General features: G+C 34.8%; 1 protein-coding gene across 21 annotated transcripts in view, besides 1 other annotated feature; it reads right to left on the reverse strand.

Annotated features, from left to right (window-relative positions):
• Nucleotides 1-19378, reverse strand: part of FGF14 (fibroblast growth factor 14) — a 691640-nt gene that overhangs the window by 12830 nt on the left and 659432 nt on the right. For all 21 annotated transcript variants that reach the window (NM_001321947.2, NM_001379342.1, NM_001321948.2 and 18 more), the window contains one exon: nt 2979-3177. In NM_001321947.2, coding sequence (NP_001308876.1) covers nt 2979-3177 — 199 coding nt within the window. The remainder of the gene's footprint in view (nt 1-2978; nt 3178-19378) is intronic.
• Nucleotides 16099-16288: an enhancer, noted in NCBI's record as "active region_7963". NCBI's record gives its function as "activates an Ori minimal core promoter by ATAC-STARR-seq in GM12878 lymphoblastoid cells {active_cell/tissue: GM12878}" and the evidence as "EXISTENCE:reporter gene assay evidence [ECO:0000049][PMID:35858748]".

The following is a 19378-nucleotide window of genomic DNA, read 5'->3' on the forward strand; positions in this document are numbered from 1 at the left end:
AAATCTAATAATTGACATGATACAGGGGCAGAAAACAGAATGGCAAGACAGCAACTGAAACTACCTGAATAAACTCTGAGGATTTATCTAAATAGTGTCTGGTGGCATAATCATAGTAGTTCACGTGGCTTTTTAGAAAATGATTTCTGGAAGTCCTGAGAAAGGACATATAAGAGTGACTGATGGTTGGGGAAAACTAGGGATTAAAGTCATCTGCCATCAGAAATACAAGTGCATTAGAGCTGCCCAAACTGCTTTTTAGGTTTTTGAAAGTTTAAGGTATTTTACGAAGAGCCCTTAGATTTAGTTAAGATGAACTACCATATGCATTCCCTATGTTCAAGGGGGTAGAATGTGGCCTTTAGTATCAATGCATCACGTGAGTTTTCATCAGCACACATACTTGAAAGTGCAAATGTACATAAGGTTTCTATTAAATTACTTGCTAAGGTAGCAAAAGGAACTAATGCGTATCCTGAAAGCACATTCCAATCCCTCACTCCTATTACTAATTAAATTAGCAGACAAAAGCATGAAGCATTGACCTTGATTTTCTATGTAGTGAAGTTGTATCGTCCAACAATGATAGACTGGATTAAGCAAATGTGGCACATATACACCATGGAATACTATGCAGCCATAAAAAATGATGAGTTCATGGACATGGATGAAGCTGGAAACCATCATTCTCAGCAAACTATCTCAAGGACAAAAAACCAAACACCACATGTTCTCACTCATAGGTGGGAACTGAACAATGAGAACACTTGGACACAGGAAGGGGAACATCACACACACGGGCCTGTTGTGGGGTGGGGGGATGGGGGAGGGATAGCATTAGGAGATATACCTAATGTAAATGACAAGTTACTGGGTGCAGCACACCAACATGGCACATGTATACATATGTCACAAACCTGCACGTTGTGCACATGTACCCTAGAACTTAAAGTATAATAATAAAATATATATATATATATATATATATATATATATATAAAACAAAGATATGAATGCCCTAGAGTACCAATAATTAACCAGGTACTTAATTTGTCAAACATTTCCAATAACATTATTTATATTCGGTATGGGTTTTGAAAGTTTGAAATTAATTTTCCTCTATCAAGTAAACAATGTGATAATCTCTGTCGTTATAGTACCTACCCCCTTAACTGTTTTTAGAGTACTTCTGCTAATTTTTTGAAAACATAAAAAGTATTATTTCTCTCTTTCTCATATATATATATGTATATATACACACAAAACACTCATATACACATAACAAATACATGAGTGAAATACCAAGTATCATTCTATACCACATCATTGTTGTCTCAGATATTTTCTATGAGATATGCAAAATAACTGGTTCCCAAATTTTACCTCGGTTAAATGACATAACAGCCCTTTTGGGTTTTGTTACATTTATGCAGCTAAAGGGTAAGGTTCTAAAAATCTAGTCAATTCTTAACTATTTACAAAACATAAAATGAGTGAAAAGAGATAAAGCACGGTGGCAAATAAACAATGGTCTTATTAGAGCTTCTGTGGGCTTATTTTTTAATTTTTTATTTGCATTTAAATATAGGTGAGTCCAATGTTATCAAAATTTATTTAAAACAATGAAAGTGTATCATGGATGTGTTTTTTTTGGGAGGAACAGGGAAATCCTCTAACTTCTTTCTACTCTAATCATCCTTATGATCCACCATATACTGAGAATAATTCACTCATATTTCAGACTCTGGAATAATCTGTCTTTTCCTGTATAGGCCCTGGTAGCTAACTGTTTGGGTTTCAATAAATTGTTCTACAGAAAAATATAATTAAGAGTGACACTAAGTCAACATCATTGAAATTACAGAAGTAGTATTAGCCAACAAGAGCGATTTTCTGAATTTAGGCAAATTGAAAATTATACACTCACAGATGATGAAGAATTGACTGTTCAAATTTTTAAATTATTTTATTTCAATATAGAGAATATGCATTATGAAAACAATATGCATTTTCTCGTGATGGCTAAGCCTTTCCTGTAGGAATAAAACACAAAAAGAAAATTGAGCTGTCCAAGCTAGCTTAAAATATTTACTGAGTTATTGTAGATCTGATCTTCTGCAAAAGAGTAAACAAAAGAACTTGAATAGAAACACATGTGAATATCCTAAAATCAAATATTTTTGTAATTCTCAAATGTTACATAGATAAAAGTAAATGACACTTTTGGCAGAATCATTAATGAGAGAGGTGCAGATGTTGTTGATTAATTAAAAAAACTTTGTAGCCTGCTCTTTGGGTATCTGATTGGAGTAAATGTGAAATTTCCATTCATCCGGCATGGATGACTGGATATACCCCTTCCTGCACACAAATGAATGTGGATAAATTATTTTAGTAAAAGAAGTAATGCTACAAATGTATACAGTGAAGAATTACACAATTTGAAAGCAGATGTGTAATATCAGCAAGTTCTTTAAGAGTCAAGCTATTATCTCTTATTTTTCTGTAATTATAATAATCCACAAGTAGGTAATTACTTTCACCTAGATAATATCAAAATGGAAAATACTTTTGATTCCACGCTCAAAACTTATTTTTTCTAATATACTTATTATCTTTTTCTAATATACTTATCATCGCAGATTTGTATCATTACAGATTTAAAATTGTTTTAACTTAATTAATTTAAATTATCTAAGGGTTAGAGTGGTTGTAGCAGTGAGGATTTGAGCCTTTGGAGGTGGCAGAGAAGAAATTTTTCCTGGTACACATACATACACAAATATAGTAAAGTGTATAAGGGGCACAAATTCTAAATCAATAACTTAAGTAGGCACCTGTGCAACCATCACCTAGATCAAAATAAATGACATTTCCAGCACTTTGTGAAGGTTTCTTAGAGCCATGGTAGACCTATCAATTTGAAAAATAAAATATGTAATAAGTCTATGTAATAATAATGCATGCATAATACTCACCTTCCAATGGCTTGGGTAGAAAATGAGCTGCTGGTTTGGTTTTCTTTACTCTGTTCCCTTTCATAGCTTGCCCTTCCTTATTTAATCCCAAAAACCAGGCTCTACCAGATTCCTGTTGTCTGTACAACATGGATGAGTAGATTACATAATAATTTTCAAAAACAGATTCTTTAAACTTGCATTCAGGGGTAAAAAGTTCCTGTGGAGAGAAAATGAAACAAAAGTTAGAGGAAGGAACTTGATCTTCACTGTACATTCTACTCATTCTCTAGAAAGTTTCCCAGCATGGTGAAAGAGTGCTTTGGCATGGAGGACCGGATATACCCCTTCCTGCGCACAGTAATTGTCTATACATTTTTAAAATATACAATAAATTGAGAAGAACCTACTATTATTGAAAATATATAGAAGCAAAAGTATATCATAAGAAAACAATACATGAGCAAACTAAAGATTTAACTTAAACAGAAGACAATTCAACCAGAGTATAATCAGAAAGGGAGCATTAAAGTAGCATCAGATATTCACAATAAAGTGAACCAAATAAAATACACATTTCAGATATTTTATAATCCATTTTACATGTTTCCATAGGAACAGTGATATAATACTCTACAGTTGCCAGTTGCTCCTTGGATCACTGAAATCACAGGGTGATACATTTTACTTACAAAGGAACAAACTGAAACCTCAAACTAAAACTTAGACAATCAGCTGGCTTACTTGCCAGCCACTAGAGCTATTGTATAACCAGATGAGGTTAGGTGTCATGTTAGCTGGTCATAGTGACAGTAGCTGAAAATAATTCAATGGGGCTCCAAAGGTTTGAGTCCCGTTGGAACTCTTGAAGATAAACATCAAAAGCTGCTCCAACTGAAAAACCACACAGCATTTTTGGAAAGCATACAGTTTGTTAAATACTATTATGCTCAATGCCATGGTCTGCATTAATTGATGAGCAGCACAAAGCTTACTACTTTACAATTATTATTAATGTCAGAAATATTCACAGATGATTTTTATATACTTCTTACTTTGGGATGAATAATAATGAATATAATCCCATGCCAAATAAATAAAAAATTAATAAGGGTACAATCTACATATGCATTTTTGATAGCCCTCTATTAAAAATAAATTTGAAGTTCAACCTGTCTGGTTATAGACCATGAAAGACACCTAGCTAGTTTTAAATAGGTCCAACACTGTGCTATTCTATATGTATATAAAATATAGATGGAAAATAGATCCTTACTGTCCTTGATCTTTTTGAAAATACCACTGGACTAAAAAATATACACAAAGTTTTCATTTTTCTTTAATAGATTTTATTATTGCAGAAAATAATAATTTTTGGTTTTCTTCTAAAAATGTTGTATACCTGTTCTGAAAAATATTCCTTAGGGGCTAAAAACTAAAACATTAAGGGCTTGACTTTATGCTAACTGTAATTAGGAATGTGACCTAATGTCATGTAGAAATTTCCTTTCAATATTCCCCATAAAAGTGTGAATTATCAAATGCTGTCTCATGCAGGAGACAATTTATTCAGTGTGCTGAATAACTTTCATTCACTGAGAGCTAATAGTTTTCCAAGGGGAACAGCCTTTGTTAGTGGCAGATGCTTTTCAAGACAAAGATGACAGTTACAGTGATCAATTTGATGAAATCACAATAGCCAAATGACAGGTTTAGCCCCCTCCTGGAGCAACTTATGTAGATCTTTATTTCTTCTTGATGATGCTACCTCAGATTAGAATAAGATCCCATCCAAATAAATGTTCTGGCTTTCTACTGAGTTCTGCATCTCCATATATCCTCCAATTAGTTTTCTCACTAATAAATGAGAGTCCACTGAGTCAATGTCCAGGCCATGCGCCCGAAAAAAAAGATTGATAAAACAGTACATGTTCATGCATTTATTGTGAGTAAAACAAAATGGAATGCTATAAATCTGGCTTCTCCCCAAGAGACTAATAAATATATTGGTTGAAACTATACTTTCTCAAACAAAAGGATTAGACTTTGGCATTTCACTTGTCTTTTTACTGAGACAGGGCAGGGCACCTAAGCATATTGCTTACCAGTTAAAAACCTATCTCAAAATCAGCTATGAGTGACATGCTGAGAGCTGACTTAGTGGGTCACTTAGTGGAAGTCAGGGGAATCTGGCTCTGCCTCCTGGGCTTCGGGTGTCTCTGCCCAGAACCTGGCTCACTGATGCTCATCCTGTTGCTACAAACACCAGAAACGTAGGTCCACAGGATTCTCTTCTGATCGTCACTGCCATAATGTCCAAAACATGAATGGTGCTTGCAACACCATCAGCAACTTAGGGATGTATTGTCTCCATTATGAATTCACTGTGTTGAATATGGAAGAGAAGAAGATGCTTGATGTAGAGGAAGTAATTTATTCTCGGTGGATACCTTAAGGATTCTGACACTATATCTTTTCAGATGAAATGTTCACATCATAGGACTCCAAAGAAGTCAATTCCACAGCACCTTTCTGTGAGCTGTGCCCGTGACTTCACAGATAGGTGATTCTTTCTGTAGAACTATTGCCTTCAGTTGCTTGTGATAGTGGAGACTGGTATATTTTCAGCCTTCTTATTTGTGGCTAAATAATTAATGCACACACAAATGCACATGTTACATTCAAAGATGTTATTGTCTAATACATTTTCTCAAAACTTTTTGAGAACTTAATCTGTTCCTCCAATATTGAAGTCTCAAATAATCCCAGCATTTCCTATAGAACCGATAGAACCAATGGAAGTTGAGGTTAGTTGCTATTTGATGTCATAAGTGATATACTTTCAACACGTAAATGGGAAGCAATGGAGCAGATAAACATCACCTGTGGAGGCAGACAGTAGGATTCAACCCTGACCCCACTAGCTGTGTGTTCTTGGGGAAATTACTCAATCTCTCTGGGCTTCAGTTTCCTCATCTCTAAAATGAGGACAAAAATCATAGGGCAATAAGGTAGTTGGGATGATTGAGTGAATAAATACGTATTACACATTTAGAAGAGAACTTGGTATACAGTGAGCACTCAATAATTATTCTTTAAAAGTTTCTCATTATTTGTAGTAAAAAATATATCCTGATCAGTTATTTCAATTCTGTGAAAATCTCACCAAAAGTCAGCTACATAATTAGTCAATGAAAACCATTTTACACAAAATATTGGGTTCAGCATGAAATATACCAAGATAAATAATAGTCATTCATTTCACTGAAAAATGACAGAACAATATAATATTTGTTATGAGTGACTTACCTATAAAATACTAGAGTGATTATAGGGAGAATAAATGGTATTGTGAAAGGCAAGAGGTGGGAAATGGCCTGGTACATTTGGAGAACTGTAAATAGTTCATCACTGAGATACACGCTTTGTGGGACAGAAGTGGAGAATGTTGTAGATGGGAAGATAGGTTTGAGAAACATAATAAAGGGTCTTGAAAACTCTAATAAACAAATTAGATGTCTTATAAGTGAGAGGAAGACATGTTGAATTCCTGAATATGCAAGGGAATAATAATAGGGCCTGATTCGTATGTTATAAATACAAATCTGTTGTCAGTGTGGAGGATGGTTTCGAAAAGTTAAGAACATGTCGTACTGATGTTTTCAACCCTAATCTCTCACAAAATGAACCTGAAAGTTGTTTGTAGCACATGAGTATATGTGTGTTCACGTTAATAGTTAGTATTAATATTACAAATAGAGAACCAGAACACACAAAGTAAGGGGAGAAATAATATCAGGATTATGACACACTGACTTCTGAACTTTCTGGTAGCCAGGACAAAAAGAGAAAGACTATAATGTTACAAAAATTATTCAAGAAAGAAAATATTTTCCTTTTTGAAAATGAAAAGTTTCTTGGCATGAATTTTTAAAAGGTATTTCCTTATAAGGGACCTAAAAAACTGACATTGACCAACATAAACAAAAATGCTCTTGAGAGTAATTGCACAGTCATACTTTGTGCTTCAATCCTGCAGTATGCTTTAGGAAAACAGATTGCATTGAAAATGTCCAATAGGTAGAACTACTTAAAGTCCAGTAGGTGGAAATAATTGTAATTGATGAGATCTCCAGGGATAATGTGCACAGCACGGGCCACAAACTCAAATGCCTCTAATGACCAGGTAGATACAGGAGTGAGGAAAGCTGGCATGATCATGGCACCGTAATGAGGATAAATGGCCTCTGACTCAGGCTCTGTGGTGAGGAGATGAAGACAGTGGTAGAAGCAATGATTTTTTTAAAAAAGCAGCCGTCCCTCACATGGTTCTCCTGTGAAAATAAAAACCTTAGATCTTTAGAAGATCTGATTTTTCAAAGGAAGTAAGAAATGTAAGTTTCTACAGATAATCTCCTTTTAACATTGGCAACTATTTCTTAGTTTTTGTTTTTCAACCTTGAGTGGGTCAAGGGGCCACAGGGAAGCCTGTGAGCCTTCAGTATGAGACCTCCAATGTACAGCAGCAAGAACCAAAGAAAGAGGAGCCCTACTTTGCTTCTCAAGGCAGTCCTAGTCTAATTGATAGTTGCTATACAGTTGGATAATACAATTATTGTGCCAGTGAAACACTCTCTAAAACTGGCAGTGATAATATGAAAATGCTTATTTAAATTTAGGCTTAAATATAAACTCTTTGAATCTGCCAAAACGAGATCGATAAGGAGTTTGATGTATCTTTTTCTCACCTTGCCTCCTTGACTATGTTTAGAACCATCACCCCCACCACAACAAAATCAACAACAGATGAGTTCCAGCAGAAGCTTGAATATTAATTTGCACCACTGCCAAACTAAATCATCAAGTCATAGGATAGAAAAATGCAATAATTAAACAGAAATGTTATATCTTTTTTATGTTGTGGTTGTTTTTGAAATGAAAGCACCATCTGTGGTGTACTTATTATCTTAACAGTAGCAGCAGAATTCCTCTTCTGAGGGAAATGCCTTTGTTTAGGAAAATACCGTGATGGGCCATTTGCTTGTACAAAGAGAGACTTCTGGTTGGAAGGAGCTCTCCTTCCATAACTCATCAGGAATGAATAACTCAGATAATCTGGCAAAACCATAACCTCAGAATTGAAAGTGACCTTGAGAATCTAATCCAGTGGTCCAGCAAACTGACTCTCAGGCCAAACACAATTTTCACCTGTTTTTGTAAATAAGGTTTCATTGGAAAACAGGCACTTTCCTTTGTTTATATATTGTCTGTGTCTGCATTTACACTACAAATTTCAGAGCTGCGTGGTCGAGAAAGATCTTTATGGCTCACAAAACCTAAAATGTTTACTATATGGTCCTTTGCCAAAAGTTTGCCAATCCTGATCTAAGGTAAAATTTGAGGACTTTCCAACCTAAGTAATTGAGGGAAGAGTTATTAACCCAGTAGCAAATTCCTAAGGAGCTAAGCATTCCCAAGTTAAACTTGGATTGCACATATTTTCACATATGCAAACATATACAACTTGAAGGAGGAGCTTCACCAGTGTTTCATCCTTGGAAAAGCCTTTATGTTCTGTTACGAGCCCAGGCTTCCACTAGGAATTAGCCCACCAACTCCACTTAGTTACTATGTCACCTTGGTGTTATCTAAGACTAAATGAAAATTATGTTTTTGTTAATGTCTTCAAGTTTGCCCACCATCACCATTTAAGGGAAAACTATAAAAGGGGCATTCTGAACACAATCATAACATTTTTTAGAATACTAGGCAATTCCAAAATAACTTAAAAAGAGGAAATAGAGAAACGATATTAGACACAAGTAGCAAATAGCACATAATAAATACATGATAAATAATAGCTACTAATATATTACTAACCTCTATTTTCCAGAGTCATCCACGAATTCAGTCCCCTCCCAGTAACAGCTCAATAATGACCCTCATCCTGGACTCCTTAGGAGTATCTCTCCTCAGAGGAGGCTTGAACTTAAAGGAGGAGGAGGTCTCCAAGTCCAAGTTCTTACTTTGAGTATAATATTAAACAACAAAGGGTTCTTTCAAATATCAAATAAGATAAGAGAGGTGAAAAATAATTTATGGACTAGAAATTAAGTTGTAATCTGTAGTTATATTTACAACGAGAAATTGAGTTTGAAAGTGCAACTCAAATGTTGTTATCATGAAGAAGGCTGTTATTTAATTATTCTTAATAGATTTCAACTTAATTACACATACCTTTAGATGGGAATTCCCATATTCAGATCCACTTAATCTGAATTCTCAATTTTTTTTCTTCCCTTTTCTACATTTTGGAGATTTGATCTACTAGAGTTTATCTGAGGTCAGCAGAGATTTATCCCAATCTCTTTCATCTTTTACAGTTTTAAAATCAATTGTATCCTTTAATGCTACTATTCTGACACTAACCACTTCTTTAAAACAAAAAGGCAGAGTACTCTTAAGATTACTTATAAAGAAAAGAATATCGTGAACTTTTAGAAAGATTTTACAGTCCTGAAGTTGAAACAAAATATTTGTAGTTAACACTCAAAAGCAGAAAATTAAGTTGACTAATGTACTTTATTTATATAAAGTTGTATGTAGTCAAAAATTTTTAATATTGGGCTGTGACTAATGCCCACAGGAGAAAAAAAATTAGTTAATTGGTTGTGTGTGTACCTCAAATAAAAGCATAATTATGTACGAGTTTAAGAGACAACTTTTGGCAGTGCACGGTGGTCACTCCTGTAATCCCAGCACTTTGGGAGGCCAAGGCAGGCGATCATGAGGTCAAAAGATGGAGACCATCCTGGCCAACATGGTGAAACCCCATCTCTAATAAAAATACCAAAATTAGCTGGGCGTAGTGGCACATGCCTGTAGTCCCAGCTACTCGGGAGGCTGAGGCAGGAGACTCACTTGAACCTGGGAGGCAGAGGTTGCAGTGAGCGGAGATTGTGCCACTGCACTCCAGCCTGGCGACAGAACAAGACTCCATCAAAAAAAAAAAAAAAAAAAAAGAGAGAGAGGAGAGAGAGACAACTTTTATCCTGATTACAGGACCCAGGAAATTTAAGTATATTTCTACCAACAAAGGAGTCTCGACAGCAACTTATATTTATAGGGCCAAATTCTGTTACTTAAGTAGTTTCCCGGGAAACAAAATGGAAAATTAAAGCATTTTTTGGCAGTAAAAATATTTCTCAACATTTAGAGATTAACACATCATTAGATACAATAATTTATTTATTAAATATTATATGTTACTTTGATTCATTATATTTATTACATGTTTTATAACATTTAATAACTAAATATCAAATAATTTGATTTGAATTTTCACTTATTCAATATAAATATGTATTATATATTTTAAAATATGTATTTTATATGTGTGCATAATTTTTAAATATACATAAGGAGATGTCTGTGTGTGTGTGTGCATGTGTGTGTGTGTGCACGTACATTTAAAATGTGGTATTCAGGGACCAGTAGCAACTTCATCACCTGGAAGCTTGTTAGAAATGCAGAATCCCAGGCCCACCTCAGACCTACAGAATCAGGATTTGCATTTTAACGAGGTCCCAGGTGACTGTATGCACATTAAAATTGGGACATATTGGCATATATTCTCATTACTACATAGAACAAATCAATTAATGATCACATTTTAAGAGCTGTCAATTAAATTGACATTAGTCATAAGCTTGCTACCATTTCTTAACATTAGTACAAAATTTATAAAAGCAAGAAAATAGAAACAAAAATCTGTGGTATTTACAATACGTCTATAAGTAAGATATTTTAAGATTATAAATAAAAATGTGTCCCAACTTGTTCTACAATGTAAAATCTTTCTCTCTGGAATATAGACATGTATAAACTCCTAAAATAATAATCCTTGTAAGATGAACAGATGGCACCAGTGCTATAAATATTAGCCAAAAATTCACAAAATAAATATGCTCAAGAAAGTATTAAGACAACCATATATCATTTTTACACATTTGTCAGTTTTCAACTGTGTTGCCTCAATATTAACAATAATAATGATGTTAATAACTATAATTAACACCTTATGCATATTTCTATGTTGAGCACTGCTCTACACACTACATAATACACTAATTTAACCCTCACCATAATCGTATGGGATGACACTATTATTATCCCCATTTTAGAACTGAAGAAACCGAGGCACAGAAGGTTGAAGTAACTTGCCCGAGTACGTTACTTTCATCAAGATAAATATAATTATTTAACTATTCCTACTAATTTATCATATTGTTCAATTGAAAGAATTTACTTTTTAAGATATGTGATCAATTGCAAAAATGATTCTAATTCTTCATCCTCCTCCTCCCAACCAACGACCTTTGCCATGTAATTTGCAGCATTCTCTTACTTTGAACAAAGATAAAGAAAGTAGAGGCTTAACAAGTGCTTGTGCAGCTGGGATTGCCCTCCCTCATGCCTGGGCTACTCTCGCTGGAGGAGAGAGAGAGTGGGGAGCAGAGCCAGGTTGATTCAATCAAAACTAACCTATTCCTAGAGGTGATCAAGTCCTGCCGAGATCTACAGAGCCACCTAGCCAAGGCCCACTTGGTCTTAGTTTCACAAGCAATATGCATACGCTTATTGTTTTATGCCAGGTTTTGTGGTTGTTCATTATACAGTTGATAACTGATACATATAATTATCAATTTCACTGAATCACTCATTCAACTAGACATAGAAAATATGTATTTTATGCTGCTGATTTTTATCTACCTCTATACCTACAGATAAAAAAATATATAGATGAAAGCAGTAAGGAATTATATAGCCTATCACCCTAGCAGAGGTGACACGTCTCTTAGAAGCAACAAATATAAGGAGCAAAAAGGTAAAGAAAAAGAAGCATATTTTAAAAAGAGTTTTTAAGAAAGTACCAAAAAATTTATAGGTACTCAAAATGAATCTTTCCTCCTCTTCACGCAACCTGTATCCACCTTTTCCCCCTCACTGATCAATTAAAGAAACATTGAACAAAATAGAAATTGGGTTGGCTTCCCTGGATTGCCAATTATCCCCATAGGAAAAAAAAAAAAAAAGCTCATTGTTGTTATTAACTCCCCAGGAAGGGGTAGAATGGGATGAGGGTGTCATAGTGGGTGGTGGCATGAGTAAAAATTGAGCTCTAAGATCAAACATGTTTGGTCATACATCAGCTTCTCAAAGGTACATTTCTTGGGCATGTGTAGGGTAATATACTAACTGTATAGAACATTGTCTAAAAGAAAAATGTAAAATGGATACTGCTTTACGTGAAAGAAATCAAACTGTACATATGTAACAAAATCAAGAGAAAGTGCTTCCATCAGTTTTTTAAACATTTCTGGATTATCTGAGTAAATAATGTCAACAGAGAACAAATATACACAGTAATATGCAAAACGTTTCTTTGTTTGACAAATACTCAGGCATCAAAGTAGAGATTAGTGATAGCTCAAAGCCAGATGGTCAGTTTCGCCTCATCCTCTATTTTAAGGACACTTCAGACTCAGTGATTTATACTTTCATTGTAACACAAATATCACATTAAGCCAAATATATATATGTATGTGTATTGTTATGTGTGTATACATAAGTGTATATATACATAACTATATCAATGAACATTTGAATATTTTAGAAATAGGGTTATCTTATTCAAAAGAGAAATAATAAAATATACATTCTTCATAGAAGTATGATCAAGGAACTTGTGCCTGTCTATAGATTTTATTTCCCCTCTGCAATAAAGCAAGTACAGAAATTATGTGAAAACATTTATAAACTTCTATAGAAATTTAACAGAATGTTTTTTATATTTGTTGAATATAACAATAAAATCTCTGGGCTTTTATTTTGTATATTTTTACGTTTCCTATTAATTGAATTTTATTGTATTTTATGATATTATCTTTCTACAAAAACTGGCAATTAATAAAAGTACTGTCCTTCACCACATGCAGTCTGATGGCCACTGCTCTATTATACATGGGTTTGGATATGAATGTACATCCAATTAAAGGAGAGCTAAGGTGAGAATTGGTGATGGTTAATATTTATTTACTTATCGGTATGAGGCAACCAGTATGCTAAAGGCTTTGCATACATTACCTCATTGCATTCCTTTTAACAGAATACAGTGCTGCAGGTGAATATCTTGATGAGAGTTTGTACAGTTAGTAAGTGGCGAAGCAGGTTCTAATGCCAACCTGAGTCTACAGCCTTCGCTCTAAATCACTAATTATACCAGTTCTCAAAACAATACAGTTCTAAAAGGAAATCAAAGAGGGAAATGTGGCTTAACAACAGCAATGGCAACCACAAGATTTTTTAAGATTATTCAATTTGTTTAGATAAATTATTTCTAAAAGTTATCAGTCTTAGCAACTATTCTATTTTTTAATCTTATTTCATTATTTTAGCCTTATGTTTTATAAGCATTGGGTTGGGAGTAGGATATGACCTGGTGTGGACGGCCTACTTGATCTAGATTTGTTAGATATTACTAATACCAAAAATAGAGGAAAGATAAAGGGAGGCATAATTTAAGAAATTACTTTGTAATTAAGAGACCCCAAGAATCTGGAAAAAGACAACAAATACCTGTGTTCTTAGTAATAACGGTTTTAATGGTGGCGATTATCATGGGAGTGGAGGTGAAGGAAGATGCAAGAAAGATACTCCTGAGTGGAACAAATGTTATGGAAAATATTTAGTTCTTTTATGTCCAACGAAAAAGTGATATGATCACAGTTTTAATTTACTCCAACAGAATTTTTGTTAGCCAGAACAAGAATAGAATTTGCTGTGCAAAAAAATGAAGTATTTTAGTTTATGTAGTTAGGAGATATCAATTTTGTGTCTTGCTATATCCTACCAAAATCTAGTCTGGTTACTTTATCTTCCTTTATCAATATTTTCTTTCATTTCCTTGTACTTCTCTGCCCATTCTGTCTTGAATAATTGAATACAAAATGACATATTTTGGAAAAAAACCAAATTTGTGATTTTTACTCTGCTGGAGTCTATGAATAAAAATCCAGTTGTTTTCATCACATTTTTCCTACCCTTAACTATTTGAATTGTATTTTAATAATATTCTTGCAATTCCATACGCTTCTCTCCTTAGGCCTATGTGTACATGCATATACAAGATTTTTCTACTTTTTTCTCTTTCAACCACATTTTAAATTAGACCTTTATATCAAACATTTTAATATTAAGCATATGTGTTGTAAACTTTTCCTAATAAGAATGTACCCCATCAAAACCACTTATTTATATAAATAGAAATGAAACAAAAGGATCAAAAATACCTGTTTAGCCAACCTTTAAAATGAAAGCTTTCATAGAAAAATGGAGGAAATATAAGCAGGTTCTACAATTCTCCTAAAAGACCATATTCTTCAAATAATAATAATTTCTGATTGAGCTTTTTGATTTTCAAAGACTATTCTTGTATACTAAATTTGATACAATAATGCTGTGAAAGATGCTTTAAGAAGAAAAACAGCACCATCTCCATGTCATAGATGATGATTTTGTGTCTTAGAGGACATAATAGATTAAGAAGCATTTATTTCTACCAATTTGATATTTCACCTACATCATGCTGCTATTTAGTAAATATTTATTAATAATTACAATGTTGAAAATACAAAACAGATAAAAGGGGTTTAATTTTTTCCCCAGGGCACCAAATAAATCATCTTACTGGGATATGAGGAAATTAAGCATCTGATAAGAATCAGCAACACTGAATTTGTGGAATACAAAGGAAGCCCACATAGTTCTGAAATGCAATGCTGAGGATTATTTTCTCTTGGTTTTGCTTTATTAGCCGGGAACACATCGGCCATGAGTCCCCAGATTCTGGCAACAACTTGTTTGATAATTCCAAAGGTTAACACAAAAGGACAAACATGAAACACTGAAGAGGGAGGCCAGGAAAGCAAGAAAAGAGGCAATACCTTCTGGGGAAAGAGAGACCCTGAGGAGGGGAGAATGTCAACCTGTGGGTTAAATAACTCTAACTAGATAAAGCTGGAGCTGTGAAAGTTCACCATGCTATAGATTTTGTCCTCTAAAAATCAGCAGTGAATTTTCATATTATATTATGAAATGTTATAGAAATTAATGAATTATATTGTCTTACTTTCCAGGTTGTTAGTTGAAAGTGTGAGACTATAAAGTGGGAAGAATCATAATATTTGTAATTGGTATATATATATATACCCACACACACACACACATACACCAATTGCAGTGTGTGTGTATATACCAATTGGTATATATATATATGTATATGTATATATTGTATGTGTGTGTGTGTATATATATATATATATGCCAATTGGTGTGTTTATATGTGTGTGTGTGTATATCTATCTATATATATATATAGGTGTGTGTGTACCAATTACAAAGATGATTCTTCCCACCTCATAGTCTCATACTTTAACAGTATATATATATATATATACATGTATATATATATATATATATACCATTACAAATACTAAAATTGGTCTACCAGATATTAAATAACAAATTAAAATTTTTGAGTACTGTGAACACATGGAAACAAATTTCCATTTATTCTTTACTTAATGATGTCTAAAATTCATGCATTCATTTATTCAGTAAATATTTAGTGAGATCCTAGTATTTAGCCATCACTGTTCTTGATCTTGAGAAGTTAGAATAAGCAAAAGTTGACATAGTTTACCATTTTTTGAAGTGTACAGTCTAATGAGAGACAAATGTTTACACTAATGATCGTATTATTACAAATTAAGAAAGGTTCTTATAAGAAAAGGAATGATTTCTATGAGATCACATAGATAAATCTGGCCTAGCTTGGGTGGTAAGGAAAAGCATTGAATTCTGAACTGAGATCTGAAACACCAGTATGAGTTAACTAGACTAAGAGCAGCGTGAAGAATATTCCTGGAAAGGGTGATATAATATACAAAGACCCTGGGGCAGGAGGAGAGACAAGGCATTTGAATGAAAAAGAGAAAACAACGAAATCAGAATGCAGAATGTGAACACACAGCAGTAGGATTTGGGATTTGGGTATTAGGCATGAGTGAAACCAGTGGTCACATTAAGGGTGAGGGAAGAGAGAGACGCTCTCATATTGTTTTATACTCAGTACCTGTTTTAAGAAAAAAAGAAAAAACAACAAGGAAGTAAAACCAAAGACAGGCAGCCCAGCGCCAGGCCTGAAACCAGGCCTGGGCCTGCCTGGCCTAAACCCAGTAGTTAAAAATCAACTTAGAACCCTATGCCTGGCCTAAACTCAGTAGTTAAAAATCAACTTAGAACCCGATGTTACCCATAGATTTCAGGCATTGTATAAAAGAACATTGTGAAACTCCCTGCTCTGTTCTGTTTCACTCTGACTACCAGGGCATGAAACCCCTGTCACGTATCCCCTAGATTGCTCAATCAATCACAACCCTTTCAGGTGAAATCTTTAGTGTTGTGAGCCCTTCAACGGGACAGAAATTTTGCAATCGGGGAGCTCAGATTTTGAGGCAGTAGCTTGCCGATGTTCCCAGCTGAATAAAGCCCTTCCTTCTACAACTCAATGTCTGAGAGGTTTTGTCTGCGGCTCATTCTGCTACAAGGGTTTTCATCGTTCTCTAAAAGCAATGGGAAGACATTAGAAGTTTTAAGCAGGAACATGTCACACTCAGATACAAATTTGGAAAGGCTAGTCTGGCCAAAATGTGAAGCCTAAAAGAGAGCCAATTTGGATATAAGAATTCTGGTTTGTCCATTATAGTACCAGAAAGAAAAAAACATAACAGTTGTGTGGGCCAAGGCATTGGCAATGGAGGTGGACAAAACATGGCTGATTGGAGAAATATTTAGGAGGTCAGAAGGTCAGCACTATGTAATTGTATATGGCAGCTGAGGGAACAGAGTGTCAAGCAGTGTGCAGGTTTCTAGCCTGTGGAACTGGATGACATTTTGTCCATGTTCATTGGTGCTTCTGAAAGGTCAAATATTGCAGTTTTGTATTCTTGGGCAAAAAAAAAGCGTAAGAGTATAACATAAGTTTCCAGAGTGCTTTCTGTCCTTTTACAGAATATCATTTCAAATATCTATAGGGTAATTTTCCACAATGTTGCATGTTTAAGTTTTTCCTTAGTAACCTGTTTTTTATTTTTATTTTTTGGTGGGTATGTCTTTTTTTCAGTACCAAATTACTTCAGAAATCTTCATGCATTCCTATAACAAAGACAAACCACATATTGTTAGTTGCAGAGCAAATAAGTTGAAAGATAAAGAACTGGAATTTGAGGGGCAAAGGTCCTTAAATTTCTTATGGTTTTATGTTTTATAAAAAAGTCCCCGGTCAGTAAGCAAAGTGGTTCCCACATCACCACTGAAACATAAGAGGACAATGGCCATGATAGACTTCCCAGTTGGAGGCAACCTGTAATCCCAGCACTTTGGGAGGCTGAGGCAGATGGACCACCTGAGGTTAGGAGTTCAAGACCAGCCTGACCAACATGGTGAAACCCTGTCTCTACTAAAAATACAAAAATTAGCTGGGCATGGTGGTGGGTGCCTATAATCCCAGCTATATGGGAGGGTGAGGCAGGAGAATTGCTTGAACCAGGGAGGCAGAGGTTGCAGTGAGCTGAGATCACACCATTGCACTCCAGCCTGGCAGACAGGGCAAGACTCCATCTCAGAATCAATCAATCTGCAAAAGGTTTCTCTCATGAGCAGTACTATAGTAGGAGACTATCAGCTTACTAATGGTGAGCAGTAAACAGAAATGTTATTTCCATAGGAAACCATTATATTCCCAGTCAGTGAATCCATTAAACATCAGTAAAAGACCAAAAAAACCCTGCTGAAGTAAAATTCTTAACTTTTTCAGGATAATATATGAGATATGGTTCTTACTGATGTCAACGGCAAATCCACCATTTACAAATTCATCTAAACCTTTAAAAATAGTTGTTATGCTCACATTTTATTACAGTAAAAAAAAAAAAAAAAGAATTCCATCAGAGTACTTCCCTGCCTTTTATTATTCTATATACTTTGATTCTATTCTTGGCACATTTAGCTTTCCAAATTAAATTGTGTAAACTTTCAGATCTGGTTTCATAGATTAGTTCTTCTATTCACTTGGTCAGTCCAGTTTGCTGCTGCAACTAAAAAGGCCAACTAAAAGGTGGGCCCCCTAAGGAGAAAAATTGAAAGTAAATTAGCAAGTATTAGCACACCTTTTTACATAGCTGCCCTGAGCCTGTCCCTAGGGGAATGAGTGGTCCCTGAAGCACTACACTTTTAAGGATAATAGAAAAATGCAGAGAAAGAAAACTAAATCAGGTGAGGGGTCAGGAAGTGGCTAGAGTTAGAGATCAATAAATATGAATGTAGTTGTCCCCTAACCCCCATCAGGCCCCAGTGTGTGATGTTCCCCTCCCTGTGTCCATGTGTTCTCATTATTCAACTCCCACTTATGAGTGAGAACATGTGGTGTTTGGTTTTCTCTTCCTGTGTTAGTTTGCTGAGAATCTAGCTTCATCCATGTAATTAGGACAAATACCTGATGCATGCAGGGCTTAAAACCTAGATGACTGGTTGGTAGGTGCATCAAACCACCATGGCACATGTATACCTATGTAACAAACCTGCACGTTCTGCACATGTATCCCAGAACTAAAAATAAATGAATGCTGTTACATTAAAGTCATCAAGAATGAATGAACAAGAAGAGAAAGTTACAGATGAAAAACCAGTGATTATTGAGGATGGTTAACCCTAAGCATAGTGCAGACATTAAGATTAAAGATTTAGAAAATAAAAAGATTGAAGATTTAGAAACTAAACAGACCTGGATTTGCTTCCCACCCCAGCATCTTACTAACAACTGTCTTGGAAACATCACTTCACCTTCAAAATAAAATATTTACCTCTATGGAATTATTGAATTTCATGAGGATTGGCAGTTTTTGGTGCAAAGTGTGCCCTCAATAAATGTTAGCCATAGTTATGATTAAAAGATGTGAAAGAAAAATAAATCTCAGGACCCCAAAATCACTAAGTCAAAGGGAAGAGTCAAGCTGGGAAATGCATTGGGCAAAGCTGCCTCCCATTCTATTCCTAAATAAGATAGTTACAAAGATAAAAAAGCTACATACCTCCCTCGCAATTTGTCCACAAGGAAATTCCTTGTGGACAGGCCGAACTCAAAGTCATCCCTCTGTTCACATGAGACAAATCCATGTCTAATTGCTTCCTCTGCCCCATTGTTCCACTAAAGCAGATGAAGACATAAGTGACTATTTCTGTAAATTGTGCATTCACTGAAAGGCTAATCAGAAACTCAAAAGAATGCAATCATATTTCTC

Source organism: Homo sapiens, chromosome 13, assembly GCF_000001405.40.
Source record: "Homo sapiens chromosome 13, GRCh38.p14 Primary Assembly".
Taxonomy (NCBI): Eukaryota; Metazoa; Chordata; class Mammalia; order Primates; family Hominidae; genus Homo; species Homo sapiens.